Genomic DNA, 23,613 nt, shown 5'->3' on the forward strand with positions numbered 1-23,613 from the left:
GCAAATGTAGCCAGGAAAACACTGAAAAAAGCTCAGAGGACTTAAAACCTTTCCAGACATCTCAACACACCATAAAGTTTCTATCATTAGAACAAGGTAGGACTTGTGCATGAACAGACAACCACTCAGATGGAATAGAAAATAAAGTACAGACATAGATCCAAGAAGTAGAAATTTAGTACAATCATGTGTCACTTAATGATGGGTATTTGTTCTGAGAAACATTTTGTCAGGCAATTTTGTCATTGTGTGAACATCATAGAGTATACTTCCACAGACCTAGATAGTATAGTCTACTACAAACCTAAGCTATATGGTATAGCCTATTGCTTCTAGGCTACAAACCTGTACAGTATGTTACTGTACTAAATACTGTAGGCAATTGTAACACATTGGTATTTGTGTATCTAAATCTATATAAACATAGAAATGGTACAGTAAAAATGTAGTATAAAAGATAAAAAATGGTACATCTGTATAGGGCACTTACCATGACTGGGGCCAACAGGATCAGAAGTTGCTCTGAGTGAGTTAGTAAGTCAGTAGTGAGTGAATGTGAAGGCCTAGGGCATTACTGTACACTTTTATATGACTGACAACACAGTAGGTTTGTTTACAACAGCATCACCACAAAACATGTGAGTAATGATGTTATGAAGGCATTATATGACATCACCAGGTGATACAAATTTTTCAGTTCTGTTATAATCTTATGGGACTAGGGTTTTATATGAGGCCCATCGTTGACCAAAACAATGCATGCAGTGTGTGACTGTGTATGATATAGGTAGCATAGTTTAAAATAAACTATGATACTGAAGCAAAGACAGATTGTTTAACGAATGATTCTGAGAAAACTGATTAGCCATTTAGAAAAATGTGAAATGAAATACATAAATCACAACATTCACACACACAAAAAAAACTTTTAATGTATCAGAGACCTAAATATAAAAAAGGAAACTAGTCAAGAATCAGAAGAAAACATAGGTGATTTCTTTAAAATCTGGATATAGGAAAAGGTTCTCTAATGATGACTCAAAATCCAAATTCCCTAAAAGACTGACAAATTTGGCTATGTAAAATTGTAAAGCTGCTTTCTGTCAAAAAACACTACAAACAAAGTCAAAAGACAAGTGACAAATTGGGAAAAAATACTTGTAATAGTTATCAAAGGTAAAGGGCTAATTTCCCTAATACCCAAATAATTCTTAAACATTTAGAGTAAAATGACCAAATACCTAGTAGAAAAATGGGCAAAAAACATAAACAGACTTTTGCAAGAAAGATTATAAAACAGTCCTCAAACAAAAAAAAGATGTTCAGTGTCACTTATAGTGAGAAAAATGTCATAATTAGAGAAATGTTGATTGGAATGCAATTCTTTCAGAGAGGAATTTGGCAATATCTAACAATATCTTCTTTCGACATAGCAATCCAATTCTAGCAATTCACCATGAAGATACACCTCCAACCGTATAGAAATACATAAGAAGCACAAGTTTATTCACTGCAGGAGTGTTTTTCATTGCAAAATGCTGGAAACAAACTAAATTTCCATATGTAGGAGAATGATTGAATAAACTGATACATCCACACAATGAAGTACTATGAAGCTACAAAATTACATAAAGAGCTCCATGAATTGATATGATTTCCAGGATATATTTTTAAATAAAAAAAGCAGAGTGTCAAAAAGTATCTGTGGTATGTAACCTTTTATGTAATAAAAAAGTGTAAGAAAATACACATACATCTGCCCCTTAAACAAGCAAAACATACACACATACACAACTCACAAGAAAGATACACCAGAAACTACTGAGATTGGATACCTCAGGGGGCAGGTGAGAACACTGAAAAAGAATAAGAGGATGAGGACAGGACAGAAAGGTAGGGAGGGTAGTACACTTATCTAACTTTGTCCTATATAGCTTTGCCCTGTAGAATAATTTCTCTAACTTTTCTGGAAGAAAGTACAGTTAAAATTAAAGTTTAATATAATTATACTTTTAATATGAGTTTCCTTACATGGTTTTAAAGAAAAAAAATATGAATTATTTTTCTGCACCTTGTAGTTATCCATGAATAAACTCAGCTTAACCACTGATTACACTACTCTAAAGTGGTAACGGTGGTGGCTACTGAGGAAGGCTTAACCTCTGATTTTAGCCTTATAGAATTTAACCTAATTACTCGGTGGAAATAATAATGATTAATAAATACAATTGCAAGATATTTTATGACTGTAAAATATCAACATGTATAATTAGTTCACTGGGCTAACTCAGATTATTTTTTCTGTCTGTGAGACTATCTTCTAAGTTACCTGCCCTTCTCCTACTCTTATCTCAGGCTCCTTCATATGCTCTTGGTACTATAAAACTTGTGCTTTTGAATCACATTCACCCTGTACTGCAAAGGCAATCCAGCTCTCCTTCTCTGTTCCAGCTCCTGTGCAAATTAAATGTCAATGGAAAAAATCCATAGCAAAGCTTATTAGTGTCTTTCTTTTATCACTTTGTTTTTAAAAACATTTATAGAATGCTATCTCTGTGCCACGCTTTGCTGCAGTAAATAGTAGTAATAATTTTCCCAGGCTGCTAAAACAGAATCAGATGATAATTTCCATGCAGAGAACAAGGAGAATGTTCTGACTTCTTTTGTGATCTTATACCTTACTGGGTTGAAAGCACTCTCATTCTATTGGATAAAGGTTCTGCTGCCATAAAGAACAGAAAAATAAGATGTGGTTCTTTATTATTGCTGTTAATCACCTGTGGAGCAACCCCCAATGATTCTGATTCAACATTTTTGAGATTGGCCCTGGCAATCTGTGTGTGTTTTTTCTTTTTAGTAGAGACAAAGCCTCACTATGTTGCTCCAGGCTGGTCTTGAACTCCTAGGCTCAAGCAATCTTCTCATTGTAGCCACCCAAAGTGCTGGGATTACAAGCATAAGCCACCATGCCCAGCCTTAAAAATAAAAAAAATAAATAAAAATAAATTTAAAAAAAGTTCTACAGGTGATAGTGATGCCCAGTAAAGGTTAATAAATCACTTTCTATAGCTGGCAGTTTTATTATCAAAAACTAAAATTACTATTCATTCAAATAAGTTCTCTGCTTAGATAAGTAAAATAATCTCCTTAAATCATTGCCCTACTGGCCAGGTGCGGTGGCTCACCCCTGTAATCCCAGCACTTTGGGAGGCCGAGGTGGGCAGATCACGAGGTCAGGAGATCAAGACTATCCCGGCTAACACAGTGAAATCCCATCTCAACTAAAAATACAAAAAATAAGCCTGGTGTGGTGGCATGCGCCTGTAATCCCAGCTACCTGGGAGGCTGAGGCAGGAGAATTGCTTGAACCCAGGAGGCGGAGGTTGCAGTGAGCCGAGGTTGCACCACTGCACTCCAGCCTGGGCAACAGAGTGAGACTCTGTCTCAAAAAATAAAATAAAATAGAAATAAAAAATCATGTCCCTACTTTCAGCACTGTTTCTCCCCACAGTCTTATGTTCACACAGCAGCCAGAGTAACCTTTGAAAAGCATAAATCAGATCAGATCATGCCTCTGCCCTATTTAAAGCCTCTCATGGCTTCCTGCTGCACTTAGAACCAAATCCAAACTTCTCACTATCCTCTATGAGGGCATACATGATATATCTCCTGCCTACTTTTCCAACTTCATTGTATACCACTTTCCTCTTCATTCATTCTGCTCACTCCAGTTACATTGGCATTCTTTCTGATCTTGAACTGGCCAGGCTTTTCTGCCTTAGGTCTAGACAATGTGTCCTGTCTTCAATTATGGTGGTGGTGGTGGTGGCAGCTAATACATACTGAACATTTCCTATTAACTACATGCTGAAGTGTTTTACATGTATTAATGTGTGTAATAAAACAACTTTATGAGGTTGGTACTATTAATATTTCTGTTTTACAGATGAGGAAAGGCCCAGGGAATTGAAGTAATTTGCTCAAGGTACTCAGACTAACTCCTCAATTCTCACTCAGAAGATGTTAACCCCAAAATTCTGTAATTTTCAGATATTAACTTAAACCTTTTATCACCCAGTTATTAACAAAAGCTATCATAGAAGTATATATGTAGGTCTCATCATTTTGGCCCCTAATAGAATTACTTTCACTGAATTATGCTTTCACATTGTAACATCCATCTATACTGAATAGTGGAAATGACACAATACAATGAATTGCTACCCTCCTTTTGAATAATTAATATGTTCTAACCCAAAAGAAAGGAGAATCATATAACTGATCATGTGTCATCCTTTTGGCAGTGGGAAGATCGTATTCAAATCTGAAATCCCCTTACAACAAAATGTACAGAGCTTTGTGACTATATTTCAGGCAAAAGCCTCTTACATTTCAAACTAACCAAAAACTGGGCCAGACATGGTGGCTCATGCCTATAATCCCAGCATTTTGGGAGGCCAAGGCAGGTGGATCACCTGAGGTCAGGAGTTTGAGACCAGCTTAGTCAACATGGCAAAACCCCGTCTCTACTAAAAATACAAAAATTAGCCAGGTGTGGTGGCAGGCACCTGTAATCCCAGCTACTTGGGAGGCTGAGGCAGGAGAATCGCTTCAACCTGGGAGGCAGAGGTTGCAATGAGCCCAGACGGCACCACTGCATTCCAGCCTGGGCGAGAGAGTGAAACTGTGTCTCAAAAAAACATAAACAAAAACAAACAAAAAACCTTATCCAAAAATTACCTTAACCAACAACTCAGAAATTATTTTATTAGTCCGCAGTCACTCTCTCACTTACTTTTCAAAGAACTCCTGCAGCTCCTTTCTCCTGCACAGTCCCCTTACTCTTGAGATTTAGTTTCAAGACTAAGAAAACAGAGACTATCCTATCTGACCTCTTTCAACTTCTTTCTTCTTTTGAAACAAATCCCTACAGTTATGCTGTGTATAACTCATTTATTTTTTACCTTCCTTGCTTTCAAGAGAAATGAATTTGTATATAAGTTGTCCTCTAAATGTTGCTTCAGCTGCAACACTCAAGTTTTTATACTGATTCGTTCTCATTCACTTCTAAATATTTTCTAATTTCCATTGTGATATTTCTTCTCTCCAGACCATAAGTTACTAAGGAATGTATTTTTCAGTTACCAAAATTTATTTTACTGACTTTTTATTATCAACTTAAAACTTAACTGCACTGTAGACAAAGACTGTAGACTTCTAGGGGTGAGTTTCCAGGTGTAGTATTTTTAAACTTTGTTTTAATTCATCTGTTACATTGCTTCATCTAATACCTTTATGCAGATGATTATATAAATATGTATCTCTAGTCTACTTTTCTGAGCTTTAGGCCTACAGTTTTAAGACTCTTATTAGACTAATTTTCTATTTCTCCTAAAGGCCTTTGAACCCTAACAGATTCAAAGCCAAAACATTATTTCCTGCCACTCTGAATCTCTTCCTTCTCCTCCTCCTCCTTTTCCTATTTTCTATTTTTGGAATGATGATCCACATTCTACCCAACTTTTCAAGCAAAAAGTGTTCAAATTGCCTTTTATTCCTCTCTCTTACAATTGGAATGAACTGTTTTATGTATTGTGAATTATATTTTCTAGTTCTCTCTTTAAGCTATCCTTTCCTTTCTATTGTCACAGGACCTCATCATCAATCCCCTGCTCTGCTGCACCATCCTTCTAAATAACCTTTAGTTCATCTCCTTGGCACTCCTCCTTCCCTTCTTCTCTTTTATCCTTCCCCCTGCTGCTTTGCATAAAGCACAACTCTGATAATTCCTTTCTCTTGCTTAAATATCTTTGGTTAACGCATACAGGATAAAGTCTGAATTTAGCACAATGCATAAGACCCTTTACCTGAGTAAAATTCATCCACTATACAAGCAGAAAGTTTTCAGGCTTGGTTTGCTACCAAATATACTATTTAAAATTCTTGGACCTGCAAGTTTATTAAAAGCCTAATGTTGACAAGGATTTGGATAAAAGTGTTGTCTCACATATAGTTGCCTATGTACTATATTTTTATGATCAAGAAAAAGTTATGCTCCTTGAATTAGGCCCCATTTCCCAAAACAATCTAGCATCAGTTCTTGACAGAGTACAGGTTACATTTTTAGCCCCATGAAAAAACTTAATACAGGTGAAGAGGAAGGATTGGTACTCTGAAAATGCTGGGGCTCAGGACCTTATATTAGTGGTGCTAAAATCAGAGATAATGAGATAATGTTTTCAGTGTTGATGGATATTATGAAATTTTAAAGGGAAGAGAGAAATAAATAAACATCTTTAGAAGACCAAGTAGTAAGTGAAAACATGGCGCATGCATCCTTTAACCAAGCTTTATGAGAAAGAAGAAAAATGACTCAAAACCATACTTATAGCAAGGAGGTAACATAGCCATTTCTAGTGTACATATCACCTGTAACTGCAGTAATAATAGGACAATACAGTCATAATAATAACCTTTAAAGATAATGAAAATTAAAATAGATTCTGTATCCTCAGTATGACAAGGCAGTAAATACTATTCATTCCAGGAAAGCTTTCATTAAAAATGATTAAAATAAAAATTGTAGGCTCATATGGAGAAGCTTATACTAATCTGAAGTTTTAATTACTCAATTTCCTTCCTATCAGAATGCTGAGATCAATATACTACTGTATTTTACTTCCTATTACCTCTCTATTGGTAAAACTAGCTACAATGAAGTTTTGAAGACTCTACTTTTTCTTTTTTTTTTTTTTTTTTGGAGACGGGGTCTCATTTTGTCACCCAGGCTGAAGTGCAGTGGTGCCACCCCAGGCTCAAGTGATCATCCTACCTCAGCCTCCCGAGTAGCTGGGACTACAGGTGTGAGCCACCATGCCTGGCTAACTTTTAAAACATTTTTTCTTTTTTTTTTTTAGCAACAGGGTCTCACTATGTTGCTAGGGCTGGTCTAGAACTCCTGGACTCAAGGCGATCCTCTCACATCAGCCTCCCAAAGTGCTGGGATTGCACCATGCCCAGCCTGCTTTTTAGATTTTTGAACTGTCAATACCCAATGTGTTTTGAAATCATACAGTAAGTAAGAATAGGCATTTTCTAAAGAAATCAGCCAACCTTGAAGGACAGCTGTGAAGTAAGAAGTAGATCTTATGGTTTACAAAGAGAGGGAGACAGCATCAGTACAGCAGTAGTCTTAGAAACTCTGCCTACTACTCTGACACTATGACATTATTGCTCTAACTTATTTATTCTGATGCCAATTATTTTCTCAGCCTTCTGCTGAATCTATGACTCTAAATTAAATATGTATGTACACTGATATGTGTGTGCTTGCGTGTATGTGTGTGTGTGTAGGCACACACAGGCACACACATATCAATATGGGCATATATTTTTGAAACTAGAGTGAGCTTCAGAAGTTTCATCTCCATGTAGTATATCTTTGACTCATAGGTCTGACTCATAGTAGGATTTTTTAAAATCCAAATGTTTTATCTCAGAAGCTTATGTTCTATATAGACTTTTAGAAAAGAAGGCCACTGTATATCAACCATTAAACCAAAGTCAAAAATTTTAAAGTATATACAAACAAATTTGATATATGTACTACAGACTTAATTGTATTTATTTTAGAATACTGTATGAGATTTAAATGATATATGGATATAGCAATAATTGGAAACATTTTGCATTAATAATTCAGTGGAGTTTCTTTCCTGAAATTTGGTTCCAAGCCTCAAGTACTTGTTATTAATAGCTGTGCAGAACAAATAAATCAGCTGTGATCCTAATCAGTGTGAAAATGTGGCTAATGCACTTTTCTGTTTCCCTAGGATCCCTGTTGCATACCTCGTGACATAACAGAAAAAATGTAGTCCAAACTATTTACGGAGATCTAAACTTTAAAGAGGATCTTTCTTAAGCTTGCTATGTTGAAACATGTTTTATCAAACAAGTTTAATTTCCACCATTTTGTTTCAAATTTATTAACTTTCCACCAATATTTTACCTCTGGTCCTGGAGGGCCAGATGGTCCTTGGAGTCCTGGGTCACCTGTTTGGCCCTAAAATGGGGGGGGAGGATCAAAGTATAAACATAAACTTAATAAACACAATTAAAAGAAGAAACAGGCATATGGTAAACAAATAGCAGTCAGTCATTATATTATCATGTCAAACAAGGTTGTAATGACTTTTTAGAAAAATTTGTAACCATCATTACTGTAAAAGTTTTTAAATAAGATGTTTATGGGTTTAATATACATTCACTCAAGTGTTAAGTGATACAAACAAATTAATGAGTCAAGTGCTCAAATCAAGAAAAGAATTGTATGTTTATATGTGTTTCACAGAGATAAGACAATAAAGCTGGACTCAACAAGATAGGGAATTCTAGAGGAGAAACTGCTTTTATAAATAACCACAGTCCCAGGGCTGTCTCTGAAAATTCCTCTCTCCTTTGATACTGTAAGTGGCCTGAATTAGTAATTAAGACTCACCTGGATTGAAATCCTTGTTGCTTAATCTCTCTAAGCCTCAGTTTTCTCATCAATAAAATAGAAATAATAATTATAGTACTAACATTCTCAAAGAGTCATTGGAGAGTTAAATTAGATAATATATGTAAAGTGCTAAGCACAATGTCTGACATATGAAGTACTCATTAAATGTCAACCAATTTTACAATCATTATTCCTTCTCTTCACACCCTTTCTGCTTTCCTGGCTCACACATAGAATTCCTAGACTGTTTTCATCCTTTAATTGAAGTTTTAAGGATTCAGTTTCAGTATCTCTGAAGCTAGTTTCTGACATTCATGATAAAGATGTGAAATCAGGGTTAAAGGAGAAAGTGACAGGAAAGAGAAGTAGGTATAAAGCCTGAAACTAGAGAAGGCTAGCAATGCTCTCGAGAGATGAAAGTTTGGAAAGGGAGGACAGTAGTCTGATATATCCATTTTCATAAGAAAAACTATTGCATTCATTATTTCTGTCATATTAAGTTTCTATATGAGCTTCAAATTTAATTTAAATAAGCCTCAGATCACCTAAACTTGCAAGTTACAATACGGGATTGCCCATTTTCCAAAACCTAAAGCACAGTTTCCAATATGCACTTAATTCATTCTCAGTGCTGAGGTATCTGGACATAAAACAGGACACCATAAACTACTGCAATCAAATCCAGAGAAAGGCAGTGAAATATTATGGAAAGGCTCATTTAAGTTTCCCTTTCCAAATAAACAAAAACAAAATCTGTGATCCATCAGAATCAGTATACTGAAGTTCTTAAAATGACAAGCATCTCTCTTTAAAGAGATAGAGAAAGGGGCGAGGGGCTCTCATTGGAGCCCTCTAGTGGCAAAATCCAACCACAAAGCTAAATTTCTAAGCAGTGAGGATAAAATAGCAATACCCTAGGGCTTTGTTTTCAGAAAAGCTGATTGACAATCACATATTTAAAAACAGAAATTGTGTAATGATTTTATTTGATCTTCAGAATAATTCTTTGTTTTGTAAAATTTTGATTGCAAATTTCCTATGAATGTCAATTTTTCTTTATAAAAGCTGACATTTTAAGTAACTTATAGATAACTAATATTAAATAAACCTCTACAAATGACAAAAATCCCTAGCTAAAAAATGGATAGGGCATAACAATTGTGTTTGTTTTCTTGGTCTAAAGGAAAGTGTATTTACGAACAACCTCAGAGTGGTAGTTTTCTCTATTTTTTTTTAAAATACTTGTAGAGCAAAAGCTTCCCTATTCAAGAACTGTAACAACTTTCCAAATCAGGACATTCCTTCTTATATCTTGAAAATATTATTTCATGTTACAACTTAGATCTACTTGGAAACAATATTAGTTAGTAACACCAACCTCTTAGGTAACAGAAAATTAAAAGTAGGATCTATAAAATAGGGAAGACATCCTTATGATGTTGGCATTCTTTCCACGACAGTAAACAAACATTTTAGATAGGCATTAACTTATATAATTGAATGTGGGAGTTTGTTTCTTAATATAATAACTGATTCTGCATAAGCAACTTTTCATCAAACAAGTGTCTCCTTCTATAAGAAGGAAAGGTTTCCTGGTCAAACACCTACAGTTTTTCTATTAATAATATATACAGCCAGGTGCAGTGGCTCACACCTATAATCCCACATTCTAGGAGGCCGAGGTAAGAGGATTGCTTGAGGCCAGGAGTTTAAGACTAACCTGGGCAACAAAGCAAGACCTGGTTTCTACAATTTTTTTTTTTTTTAATTAGCTGGGTATGGTGGTGGACCTGCAGTCCTTGCTACTTGAGAGGCTGAGGTGGAAGGACCACTTGACCCCAAGAGTTGGAGACTGCAGTGAGCTGTGATGGCACCATTACACTCTATCCTGAGCAACAGAGGGAGGCCCTGTCTCTAAAAATTTTTTTTTTAATTAAAACAAAAAGATACAAACAAGTAATAAATACAACAAGAGACAAAATACAAGGCTATCTCACTAATTTTAATTCATGAATGCTTATCTTATCTTCGGCCCAAAGTAGTTTTCAAAAGTTTGATAAAACAAATAAAAAAAAATCAATTATCTCCCTACCAAAGTAATTCCTGCTGACATTAATTTTCTTTATTAGAACAGTACAGAAAGGTGTAAAATGAGTAAGTAAAAGCCTCACTCTCACTGTCTCTTGCTCCCTGCCCTAAAAGAACATCATTAGCATTTATTGTGACTTCTTTCAGGAAAAAAATACTAAGGGCTTTAAGATAATGTGTTAAAGGTGAAACAGGCTCTCTGCCTTTTCTTTAGCTTACACTAGGAGGAATATTAGTAAGTACTATGTCTAAAAGAGAAAAACATCATAATCACAGGACTATAAGGAACCTTACATATGATATGGCCTAAACTTTCTTTTTTCATTCTTTCTTTTTTTTTTTTTTTTTTTTTTTTGAGATGGAGTCTCACTCTGTCGCTCAAGCTGGAGTCCAGTGGCGCAATCTTGACTTACTGCAACCTCTGCCTTCTGGATTCAAGCGATTCTCCTGCCTCAGCCTCCTGAGGAGCTGGGACTACAGGTGCCTGCCACTATGCCTGGGTAATTTTTGTATTTTTAGTAGAGACAGGGTTTCACCATGTTGGTCAGGGTGGTCTCGAACTCCTGACCTCGTGATCCACCCACCTCAGCTGCCCAAAGTGCTGGGATTACAGGCGTGAGCCACCGCACGTGGCCCTAACTTTCATTTTAAACATGAGAAGCTGGTACCATGGTGGTTAAATACCCAAGGTGATAGCCAGTAGGTTAAGTGCCAGAGCTGGGACCAGAATCCAGGTCTTTGTCTCTCTAGCCAATGATTTTTTTACTCCCATCAACATGTTATAAATATAAATTTAATCAAAGAGTAAGGAACACTAAAATGGTTTGCCTTGTGTAAGCACGATACTTGACTCTAGTTTTCTCAAAAAATTAATTGTAAAGCACAAAAAAATACTTATATTATTTATTAGTTAATAGTGCCCTTAGAGCATGTATTGTATCATTTCATCCTATTTGGTCAAGCGCTAGAAAAATGTCACATTATTTAAAAAAAAGAATATGTAAAAAGTATCTTATTTTGCCAATCACTGCAAATATCAGAGAGTCTTTATATGGTTTAGAACCATCCTTGAAAAACAGAAGTTGTTTGTTAGCTTCATGACCTAGTCTCATGATCCAATTTATGCACTCTAGAGTTTCTGAGATTCAACTCAAGGGTACAAGGGAGGGTACACGGCTTATTAGGTTAAGCCCTTATGGCAATAAGCCCAGGGCAAAGAACTAGTATAAGCAAAGGTCACCACTAACATTTCATCGAATAGATGCCAAAAATTGTTCTTTGGGTTAAATAATTCCTAAGAGATGTATATAAAATACTGTCACTGTTAGAAGTCACAAAGAATGGGGTAAAGTTCTGTAATTTAATACTGCTTCCTGAGATTAAAAAAATAAATAATCCTGAGATGGAAGGGTAGAGTTAGAGGGAACACAATGAACTGCTCAGGAACATAACACAATTATTTTTTAATGTATATTTTAATGTGACATTAATAAATTATAATCCTATATGTATTTTTTGTATGTATAATCATCTCTACCTTTTTCATAGAATTGAATCCTATATCTAATTTTTTCTATCTGTAATCACCTTTACCTTCACAGAGTTGTAATCAATATTAAACTCCTAAAACCATCTTAAAATATTAAACCCTAAAACAGTATGGCACAGTAGCTAAACGCATGAGCTCTGACATACCTGATTGCCTAGGTTTTTCTGAATGGTCACCTACTAAGTAGGTGGCCACCCAGGTGACCTTAGATGTTTTCTAACACTGTGTCTCAATTTTCTTAATATAAAAAATAGGAATAATAATAGTACCAACTTTGTAGGATTGTTGTGAAGATTAATTTAGATGTATAGTCCTTAGAATACTGCCTGGTATTGTGTAGATACTCAGCAAATGTTAGCTATAATAATTATGATTTTTAATATTTAGAAATATATTTTCTCAAGTTTTAACCATTTTATTTAAATAGCTTTAATTATTAAGTAATTTTAGATTTATAATTTTTTGAGTTTTATGTTAACAGCAATATAAGGTATCTTTTTCTTTCGTCTAATTGATGTCCAAGGGTCAGGAAAAAAAATAAGGATTTAGAATATTTTGGTCCACAAGAGAGTGCAAACATGCTACCTTTTCTTCAGACTGTTTCCTTAATAAAATTGATATTTTGAAAAGTTAAAATATTATTTAAGGTGCTTTACATTTTCTGGCTTCAAAGCCTATTGTTTTAATTTAAATATTGTCTATATTAAATTATTCAGTAGAATAATATGACCAAGATCTTTAGGACTCTCAGAAACTTGGCTTTGGCCTAGGGTTGGGAGTAGAGGGAAGTCCAAAAGTCTATGGAATGTGAACTGAATACCTGAGGGATTTGCTATATTCTAAAACTAAGGAGACAAATGCTCAGTAGGCTTATACCCTACTTAGATCAACAGTGTCGAGACTCATGCCATGACATGCACTCTGTCAATTACAAAGAGCAAAGCAAAAGTTCAAACCTACTGAAGGCCCTGACTTTCCTCTCATCCCTGGTGGTCCTGGTAAACCAACAGCACCCTAAGAGAAGAGAATAACAGAAGAGAAAGTTATTATACCACAAAAGGCAGACATACCACTATTTACAAACTGCTAAAAAATTTCATAAAGTATGCTAAAATATTGAGACAAAAGTTTCAAACAAGAACTTAAAACCATATTGATACCACATTCTAACACAATACATGGATAAAATAATAAGCAGTTCTTTCTTTTGAATTTACACTTTTTCATATTTACATAAAATTAATGGTATAAACATTACCTTGTCTCCAGGATACCCGGGTTCTCCTAGCTCTCCTGCTGTGCCTTGTTCACCCTGGAAAGCACAATTTCATGCAAAGATACTTATGTATCACAAACATGGCAATATTATAAGAAAGCAAATATTCATTGTAGAAGAATAATTTCTCTATTTTTCTTACTTCTGAGGAAAACTAATATAATTGATACTACAAATTAGACTCCATAAAAACAAAATATTTCATAAATTGTGTTGACTGAAAAGTAAAAGACAAATGTGATAAAAATTATTTTTATAATATTAATATTTAAATCACCTTATCACCTTTGATTCCAGGTAGTCCTTTATTCCCTGAAAGGCCCTACAAAAAAAGGTGACATTTTGTGATATCATAGACAGATTAAAGGGAAATATCCATTATACAAATAGAACCATACCATTGGGCCAGGAATTCCAGCAGGTCCAATTGGTCCCACAGGGCCAACACTGCCCTGGAAAACAGTAAGAAAGAAATGCATCATTAAGCATTCATTAGGATTAGAAAGAAAATGTGGCAGAATTAATAAATTAATGAACCCAAAACAGCCAACTCACTAAGCTCCTACACGTGCCTTGTTCTTCAACAACTTATTTTTCTCTCCACATTTATAAATCATACCAATATTTCAAACCTTAGTGAAGTCCATCATTTTTCTGAAACCTTTTCATATTTGTCTAGTCCACAGAGATTCTTTCCTCCTTTGAGCTCCTATAATACTGTCCATGACATTCATCTTGCAATATTTCTCCAACTAGATGAGACCTTTAAAAAATATTTTAGTGCCATATTCCCAGGAACTAGTCAACAGATACTTCATTTGATTGTCTTAGAGTTTTATTTCACCCACTTATTCAGCAAATATTTTTTGAGGAGTTACTATGTGCCAGACATCCTAATGATTTGATTTTATAATTTCAAATTTGCAGAATGAGAAAATTTATCATAATTTCAGGGATAAACTCAGAGGCAAACAAAAAGCTCTACTCTTCTGGGCTTATCTCGTTTATTCATCATTTAATATTTACTAAGCATAATATGTACGAGACACTGTTGAAGAAAAAAAGAGAAAAAAGACATAATCTCTAACATCAAGGTTCTCAATTTAATGCTCTAATTCTTCAGAAACATTACCACTATTATCTTCTGCAAGCAAGAGACTTAGAAAAAACTTCAATATGTCATCTTAGAAGACAAAGGGCAATAGCAACATAAGGGTATGAAAGAAAAATTTGAAAAACAAAATGGCACTTCTTGGTGGTTTGGGATCAGTTATAATTTCTGTGTCACTGAGGTCTCCTTTTTCTTCTTTTTCTCACGATCTTTCTTTGCCTGGCTTCCTTACTACTCTTTATAATGGAAATCCAAGTTAGTTCAAACTTCTCTTTCTAGTTTCTAAATATTAAGGAACTCTTAAAGTTGCATTTGTGAAATGCTAAGAATGTTACCTCTTGTAGTTAGAATTCTAATTTCTTAGGATAGCATCCTAAGCCCTCTCTATTAGGCTTCCATCAAACTTTCCAGTCTCCTTTCCTTCCATTGTCCTCATTTCCCTTCCACTTTACTTCTCCCTCCCCGAAATCCTCCATTCTAGCTGCAGTGGACTGTCTTTCATTTTCTGAATAGCTCTCCCTTACCAAATGCTCAGAACCTTTGACAAGACAGTTACCAGTACTAGAATGCACTTCTACTACGCTACTTAGTACATGGCACTGTACTTTTTTTTTCCTGCCTTCCTAGTCTGTGCATTTTGTGACAGCGGAAACACGTTTCATTCATTTTTTTTATTTCCCAGACCCAACATAATAACTGGCAGATAATGGTTCTGAAATAAAGTGTAGAATGAATACTGAAGGGATTAATTTGAAATGGTGATTTCTAGAGCTCAATATCCTAACATAACAGCATTTCTAATTGTCTACATTTATATAATACAAATTTCAGAATGGAAAATAAGACATCATATGGATGAGTCTTAAAGTCTGTGAAATACAGCTAAGATAAATTATTTCTAACATGTTTAATCCTGAAATATATAACACCGTTAGAGGCAAAGGGTAATACTTTCCAACTTAATAGATATGCAATATTAATACATGATGCTTGTAATTTCAAATTATGTCAATAGGAAAACTTGTGCTTATGATTACAGTGGCTAGTTTATTCAAAGTTCATAGCTTTAAAACTTATGATAGGTTAGAAAAATACAAAAATATCTCTGTTTGGAAATTATGCAAAAGTAATCCAAGTAAGTATGGAAAGGACTATCTTAACAAACACACACACAAATCTTTCTTTGTGTCCTTTTGTTTTCTTCATAGATAAAATAATATTCTTAACTTTTTTCAGTAAGTATATTACTAGCATCTTCAGATGAATGTACTTTGTATATATAATATCCTATTTTACTTTTCAGTGACTCTACATGAAAAAATCACATAACAGTAAGTATTGGGAGATATGAAAAATATATTATAATGAACTTAGAAAAATAAAGAACTATAAAGTAAAATTGAATACTATGGAATTGAAATTTCCAAGAAACAGCATGTCACAAATTGAGTGGAAATCCTAGTCCTGAGAAACTATAGCCTTCTGAAAGCAACTCAGTTCTCAGTTCTACCAAGGTAACCTGAAAGTCCTTCAGCATTCCCTAACTACCAACTCATCTTCCATAAGAACATGGAACAGACAGAAGAAATACTTTCATGCGTGGGAGCCTTGTTGAGGGTGTTTGGGATATGGCATCAGAGACAGAGGAGCCTCCCACACAGCTCCTCTGAGAACTTCTGAGTTAAGTCAAAGAAATAGAGAGACCCAGAGGATAAGTTATTTGTATTAAAAAGAGCAGTCACTGGCCAATTAATAAGGGTTCATATGGTATACTGTAGAAAGGACTGTGAGTTCCACATGGTGCTTTTAAATCACACCCACCATACTCACACGTGATACACATTGTCACTAGTCTAAGAAAGCATATAACAATGACAACCAACTGCATGGAAAAAATAATTTAGATAAAGCAATAGCATCTCTTATCAGAAACTATACCTGCTGGAAGGGAACACCTGAGAGATAAAGCAGAGGCTGCTGCTCCGGGCAAGCAGACAAGTTGTTTACTATGCAATATAAAGGGTCTTCATAATCCTTCCCAATTACTTTCAAAACCTCAATTCCTTCCATTCTGCTCCCAAGCCCTTACTTCCTATGCTACAATCCCACTACTCCTCTTTCCAGTCCCAAACATTCATTTTTCCCCATCTTCTGTGTATTTGAACACAGCATTTTTGTACCTAAAGAAAGCTTTTCCCCCTTTCACCCCACCCCATTCATATACAATCTTCAAGATATAGCTCCAAAAATATCTCCTTTGTGAAGCCTACTCTGACTTTCTGAGATAACAGAAATTGCTCCTTTTCAGTGGTTTTACATTTAATCAATTATAGCAGTAATCACAGTATATGACACTACTTATTTTTCCTTCTATGCCATTAGATTGTAATGTTGCCAAAAATAGGAATTTTAACTTGTTCATATTATTAGGCCTAGCAGTTAGTTCAGCTATTTAGTAGGTGCTCACATTGTTTTAATTTTAAAAAGTAATGAATGTAAAATGGAAGTAACAATACCTGCTTTATCTACTTTACAACTCATTGAGGAGCAAATAAGATATGTATATAAAACTACTTTGAAAGGTAGAAAGGACCATCTATATCAGTTTAGAAGAGATGAGGACTACAAAGATGACTCTTACTATCTGATATGGTTTGGGTGTGTCCCCACCCAAAATTTCATCTGAATTGTAGTCTCCATAATCCCCACATGTCAAAGGCAGGACCAGGTGGACATAATCAGATCATTGGGGAGGATTCCCCCATGCTATTCTCATGATAGTGAGTGAGGCTCATGAAATCTGATGGTTTTATAAGCATCTGGCATTTCCCTTGTTGCACTCACTCCGTCCTGCCACCCTGTGAAGAAGTGCCTGCTTCTCCTTTGCCTTCCAACATGACTGTAAGTTTCCTGAGGTCACCCCAGCAATGCAGAACTGTGAGTCAATTAAATCTCTTTCCTTTATAAATTACCCAGTCTCGGATATTTCTTCACAGTGGTGTGAGAACTGGCTATTACAGTAAACTGGTACTGCAGAGAATGGTTGCTGCTATAAAGATACCTGGAAATGTGAAAGCAACTTTGGAACTGGGTAACAGGCAGAGGCTGGAACAGTGTGGAGGGCTCAGAAGAAGACAGGAAGATGTGGGAAAGTTTGGAACTTCCTAGAGACTTATTGAATGGCTTTTATCAAAATCCTGATAGTGATTTGGACAATGAAGTCCAAGCTGAGGTGGTCTCAGGGTAAGATGAAAAACTTCCCAGGAACTACAGTAAGGGTGACTCTTGCTATGCTTTAGCTAACAGACTGGTGGCATTTTGCCCTGCCCTAAAGTTCTGTGGAACTTTGAACTTGAGAGAGATGATTTAGGATATCTGGCGGAAGAAATTTTTAAGCAGCAAAGCATTCAAGAGGTGTCTTGGATGCTCTTAAAAGCATTCAGTTTTATGCATTCACAAAGAGTTTGGAATTGGAACTTATGTTTAAAAGGGAAGCAAAGTATAAAAAAGTTCAGAAAATTTGCAGCATGAGAATGCAATAGAAAAGAAAAACTGATTTTCTGAGGAGAAATTAAAGTCAGCTGCAGAAATCTGGGTAAGTAATGAGAAGCCAAGTGTTAATCCCCAAGACAATGGGGAAAATGTCTCCAGGGAGTGTCAGAGATCTTCACAGCAGCCCCCTCCTATCACAGGCCCAGAGGCCTAGGAGAAAAAAAAGGTTTTTGGGCTGGGCCTAGAGCCTTGCTGCTTTGTGCAGTCTCAGGACTTGGTGCCCTGAATCCCAGCTGTGGCTAAAAGGGGTCAACACAGAGCTCAGGCCGGTGCTTCAGAGGGTGCAAGCCCCAAGCCTTGGCTACTTACACATGGTGTTGAGCCTGCAGGTGCACAGAAGTCAATAATTGAGGTTTGGGAACCTCTGCCTAGATTTCACAGGATGTCAGGAAATGCCTGGATGTCCAGGCAGAAGTTTGCTGCAGGGGTGACACCCTCATGGAGAATCTCTGCTAGGACAGTGTAGAAGGGAAATGTAGGGTCAGAGGCCCCACACAGAGTCCCCACTAGGGCACTTTTTAGTGGAGCTGTGAGAAGAGGGCCACCATCTTCCAGACCCCAGAATGGTAGATCCACGAACAGCTTGCACCATTCACCTGGAAAAGCCACAGGCACTCAATGCCAGACCATGAAGGCAGCTGGGTGGGGGTCTTTACCCTTTAAAGCTACAGGGTGGTGCTGCCCAAGGCTGTGGGAACCCACCTCCTACATCAGTGTGACCTGGATGTGAGACACGGAGTCAAATTGAGATCATTTTGGAATTTTAAGTTTTAATGACTGCCCTACTTGATTTTGGATTTTCATGGAGCCTGTAGCCCCTTTGTTTTGGCCAATATCTCCTATTTGGAATGGGAGTATTTACCCAATGCCTGTACCCCCATTGTATCTAGGAGGTAACTAACTGCTTTCAATTTTACAGGTTCATAGATGGAAGGACTTGCCTTGTCTCAGATAAGACTTTGGACTTAGACTTTTGGGTTAACGCTGGAATGAGCTAGAACTTTGGGGGACTGTCGGAAAGGCATGATTGTGTTTTGAAATGTGAGGACATGAGATTTGGGAGGAGCCAGTGGCAGAATGATATGGTTTGGCTATGGCCCCACCCAAAATCTCATCTTGAATTATAATTCCCATAACCCCCACATGCCAAGGGCAGGACCAGGTGGACATAATTGGATCATGGAGATGGCTGCCCCATGCTGTTCCCATGATAGTAAGTGAGGCTCACGAGATCTCATGGTTTTATAAGCATCTGGCATTTCCCCTGTTTGCATTCACTCTGCTACCCTCTACAGAAGGCACCTGCTTTTCCTTTGTCTTCCACCATGATTGTAAGTTTCCTGAGGCCTCCCCAGCAATGTGGAACTGTGAGTCAATTAAACCTCTTTCCTTTATAAATTACGCAGTCTCAGGTATTTCTTCATAGCTGTGTGAGAATGGACTAATACAGTTATCATTAGCCATTTCCTTTTCTGTAGAATCTCTTCCCATGAACTGAAAGGTGAATGGAGAAAGAGAAAATACAGAAGATCCACTTATTTTTACTGAGTACTTTTATGTGCCAGACAGTGTGCTAAGTTTTGGAGCAGAAAAGTAGAGATAGAGTGTTTCAGGTAGACAAACATGTGCAAAACCTTGTAGCAAAGATGCTGCATAGCATCTGAGAATTAACAGCTTTGCTAGTATACAAATAGTATGTCATGGACATGTGGGTAAGAACTAAACCAGACTAGATATCTTGGGCCATATTTAAAAAATTTGGTCTTAATCTTGACAGTAACAACAGAAGCTTTTTAGCTAATCAACTCCATGCTAATAGATTAAATAAAAACTGCATGAAGAGCATCTTTGGAATCTAACTCCTTTTGCCTACTTCCTTACTCTACCCACTGACTAATATCTACAGGTTTAACCCTATTCTAAGTTCTCAGGAAAAAAAAAAACATCACACAGAGTTTCTCAGAAAGGACTAAAGAAATCTCATAAGGTAGATAATATACACATAAGGGAGTATAAGTTTTAAGGAGGTGGTACAGACCAACGAAATTCTGGACTCTGGATTTAGATCACCTGGCTTCAAATCTGGGCTCAAACACTTATCAGCTAAATAGTCATGGGTTGGTCTGAGAATGGAATGACTTAACAATTGTGGCTAGTCCACTGAAAATAGTAAACAAATGTGAGGTGCCCTCAGTAATTTTATTATTACTACTACTACAAATCTTACCATTATGTTAGAGAAAAGTTTAAATGTTTCAGACTCACACAGGTTCTTTGACTCTAAATCCCATACTCATGTTATCCCAAGATGGCAAGTTAAAGCTTATGCTGACTTAAATTTTACCACAGTTCCAATAACTAAGCTCCTGACTTATTTATTTTTATTTATTTGATTTTTTTTTTTTTTTTTTTAGAGAGATGGGGTCTTGCTTCATCACCTAGGCTGGAGTGCAGCAGCATGATCATAGCTCACTGCTGCCTCTAACTCCTGAGCTCAGGAGATGCTCTCACCTCAGCCTCCTAAACAGCAGAGACTACAGGTGTGCTCTACCTCACTTGGCTAATTAAAACATTTTTTCAGCTTTATTTTTATTTTTTTCAACGTTTTTTATTTAAATAAGGAGAATTCTTCCCTATGGAAAGAGCTAGCACAATCACATATTTGAAAGGAGAAACAATAGGTACTGAACCGGAGGGAAAGGGCGAAGGCTGAGTGTACCAGCACCAGCCTGGAGAATCCACAATTCCACTTCCTATCCAAGGTAAGTTTCCGAAAATAGTATATAAACAAGTTGCACATTATACCTTTAGCCATCATCTGCCCTTTCAAATATCTGGTCTACATGAAAAGAGAAAGAGGAAAGGCCAAAACGAAAACAAAAGGAAACAAAAACAAAACGCAACCCTCTCAAAAACAAAAGAAAAAAAAACCCAAAATCTTTTTTACTACACAGAGCATAAGGTCAAAAACTTACAGTACCAGTGTCCCCTTCAAGCCATGGAAGAAAAACATCCACATAAAGCCTTAGCAAGAATTTCCACTCTGAGGCTTTGTAACATGCTGAAGACAGGGCCCTGGGGGTGCTGCTGCCATTTTGGAGGCCACCAACTGGGGTGGAGAATCAGTGAACAGCACGTCTCATGCACTTGGAAGATCACCAGCCAAATATGCACTGGTGGCCTGGTGGAGCATGGCTAGGTGACTGCCTACCCCCAACACTGAACCACTCCTATCCTGGATGACCTACTTCTTAGGTCTGTCTCACATTTCACAAAAGAGCTGGAAGTCTGCATTTCTCATTCATCACAAAACAGGACAAAGCACACACACTCTAGTATCTTTGGTCATCAAAGGCCATTTCCAACAGACCCTCAAACCCACGTTTGCTTTGCAAGAAGTGAAAAGGGACAAATGAAGATTTGAAGGGCAGCCTGCAGCCACTTGGCAGAAGGAAACTAAATGGCAGGGAGGGGGCTCCACCAGAGCTGCCATGCTGCCACAGTGGGCCAGGCTAATTTTCTTTTTTCTTTCTTTTTTTTTTTTTTTGTTGTTGTTGTTGTAGCATTGGGATCTCATCATCTTGCCCAGGCTTGGTCTCAAACTCCTAAGCTCAAGTAACCCTCCTGCCTTGGCCTCCTAAAGTGCTGGGATCATAGGCATGAGCCACCATGCCTAGCCGTGACTTCTTTGACCAAGCTGTCACCTTGTGCTTTGGGACAGCTAAAGGTAAGGGAAAGAAGACTGAAAGAAAGGCTATCAGCATACTGAACAGATATTTGCACTCCCATGTTTATTGCAGCACTATTCACAATAGCCAAAATACAGAATCAACTTAAGTATCCATCAGTAGATGAATGAAGAAAATGTGGTACATACACACAATAGAATATTATTCAGCTATAAAAAAGAATGAGATTCTGTCATTTGCAACAACAGGAATGGAACTGGAAGACATTAGTGATATAAGCCAGGCACAGAAAGGTAACTAACACATGTTCTCACAAATATGTGGGAGCTAAATATATGAGAAGGGTAGGAGTGGGGGTTATAAAAGGTATGATAAATAGGTACAAAAATACAGTAGAAAGAATAAGATCTAGTATTCCACAGCACAACAGAGTGGCTATTTTTAACAACAGTTGATCACAGATTTCAAAATAAAAGAGTGAAATTAGAATGTTCCTAACACAAAGAAATAATAAGTGCTTGAGGTGATACAAGCACCAATTATTCAAATTTGATCATTACACATTTTTGCTTGTAACAAACATCACATGTACCCCCTTAATATGTACAGCTATTATGTATTGAAAATAATTAACAATTTTTTAAAAAGGAAAGAAGAGGGTCTTCTATGTCTTATGCTTTTGAGGAAACTTTGTCTTAAGTATCCTTTAGCGCACAGGTACAAATACATACATATAGGTCTATAAAAATATATCATTATTTTTTCTTATCATAAAATACAATTAATTTTTTGACTTATACTACTGGTCTAATTATTCATATCTGGTTGAAAAAAATACATTTAATCAAGGTTGATAACCAACAATGACAGTAAAACCTCTCATTTCCCTAAGTTTCAAAAACACATCTAACACATATAAATTGCACAATAAAATATTTTCTTAAGAATGATGATATTTAGTGATACTCACTCTAAGCCCAGGAAACCCCGGAGGACCAGTGCCACCTACAAGTCCCTATTGTAAAAGAAATTTGCAATACTTATTAAATTTGATTCCCAACTACTAAGGGTATTTCTGAAGATAAACACAAAACTTTCTAGCTAAGAATACATCAAAATGTACCTTCTACTATAGCTAACTTCTGAAACTCCCCTAATCTATGCATCCTCCTGAGAAGCACAAACCTATGGTGGCCATTTATGTTCTTCACAAGTGCCCTTGGCTAAATGCTTTTGGATGCCAGGACTACCACCTAGCTTAAGCAGAGTCCCCTCTGCCTCCTATGTATTTAACCAAGGAAGTAAATCCTATCAATAATCAACACTGTACACTTAATTATGCTATCCATTCTATGAAAAGACAGGTGGTCAGCACGTAGGGTTAGAAAAACATTTTCAGACGGTTTAAAACACTATGGACTCTTTTGAAGTACATTATTTAAATTCTCTAATCTTCATTTTTCTCATTAAAATAGAAATACCAATATTTGTTCTCACTGTAAATATCACAATGAAATTTGTCATATGTAAAGGCACCATAAAAATGTATAAAATTTTCAATACTGTTAAATTATTTATATAAGTATCAGATTTTTCATGATCATTATTAATTTTTCCAGCTGATTTGTGATTGGTCTTTTGAACTCATTGTCATTACACTTTATAGTCTTTAAGATAATTCCTAATTCACTTTATGTCACTGTCACATTATTTACAAGGCACAAAGTACATGAATGTCCTTCTTTTTTTGCATTTCAAATTCTGTTTGGAAACAAAGGCAGAGAATATACTATAGAGAATTATAAACCAGTAAACTAAATATATCCAGTTGACTATTGTATTTTAAAG

At 36.2% G+C, this 23,613-nt stretch overlaps 1 protein-coding gene across 20 annotated transcripts in view, besides 1 other annotated feature; it reads right to left on the reverse strand.

The window, feature by feature from the left end:
- COL24A1 (collagen type XXIV alpha 1 chain) overlaps positions 1–23,613 on the reverse strand; it is a 427,752-nt gene that overhangs the window by 279,910 nt on the left and 124,229 nt on the right. For 18 of the 20 annotated variants that reach the window (NR_146340.2, NR_146344.1, NR_146343.1 and 15 more), the window contains 6 exons: positions 22,736–22,780; positions 13,812–13,865; positions 13,691–13,735; positions 13,396–13,449; positions 13,098–13,151; positions 8,009–8,062 (listed from right to left, as the gene is read on the reverse strand). Coding sequence is in view for 14 of the 20 variants with exons in the window: in XM_047417004.1 (XP_047272960.1) it covers positions 8,009–8,062; positions 13,098–13,151; positions 13,396–13,449; positions 13,691–13,735; positions 13,812–13,865; positions 22,736–22,780 (306 nt within the window). In the remaining 6 variants the exon portion in view is untranslated. The remainder of the gene's footprint in view (positions 1–8,008; positions 8,063–13,097; positions 13,152–13,395; positions 13,450–13,690; positions 13,736–13,811; positions 13,866–22,735; positions 22,781–23,613) is intronic. The other 2 variants (NR_146341.2, NR_146342.2) reach the window with 1 other exon arrangement.
- Positions 7,272–7,461: an enhancer, noted in NCBI's record as "active region_1275". NCBI's record gives its function as "activates an Ori minimal core promoter by ATAC-STARR-seq in GM12878 lymphoblastoid cells {active_cell/tissue: GM12878}" and the evidence as "EXISTENCE:reporter gene assay evidence [ECO:0000049][PMID:35858748]".

This window comes from Homo sapiens, chromosome 1, assembly GCF_000001405.40.
Source record: "Homo sapiens chromosome 1, GRCh38.p14 Primary Assembly".
NCBI lineage: Eukaryota > Metazoa > Chordata > Mammalia > Primates > Hominidae > Homo > Homo sapiens.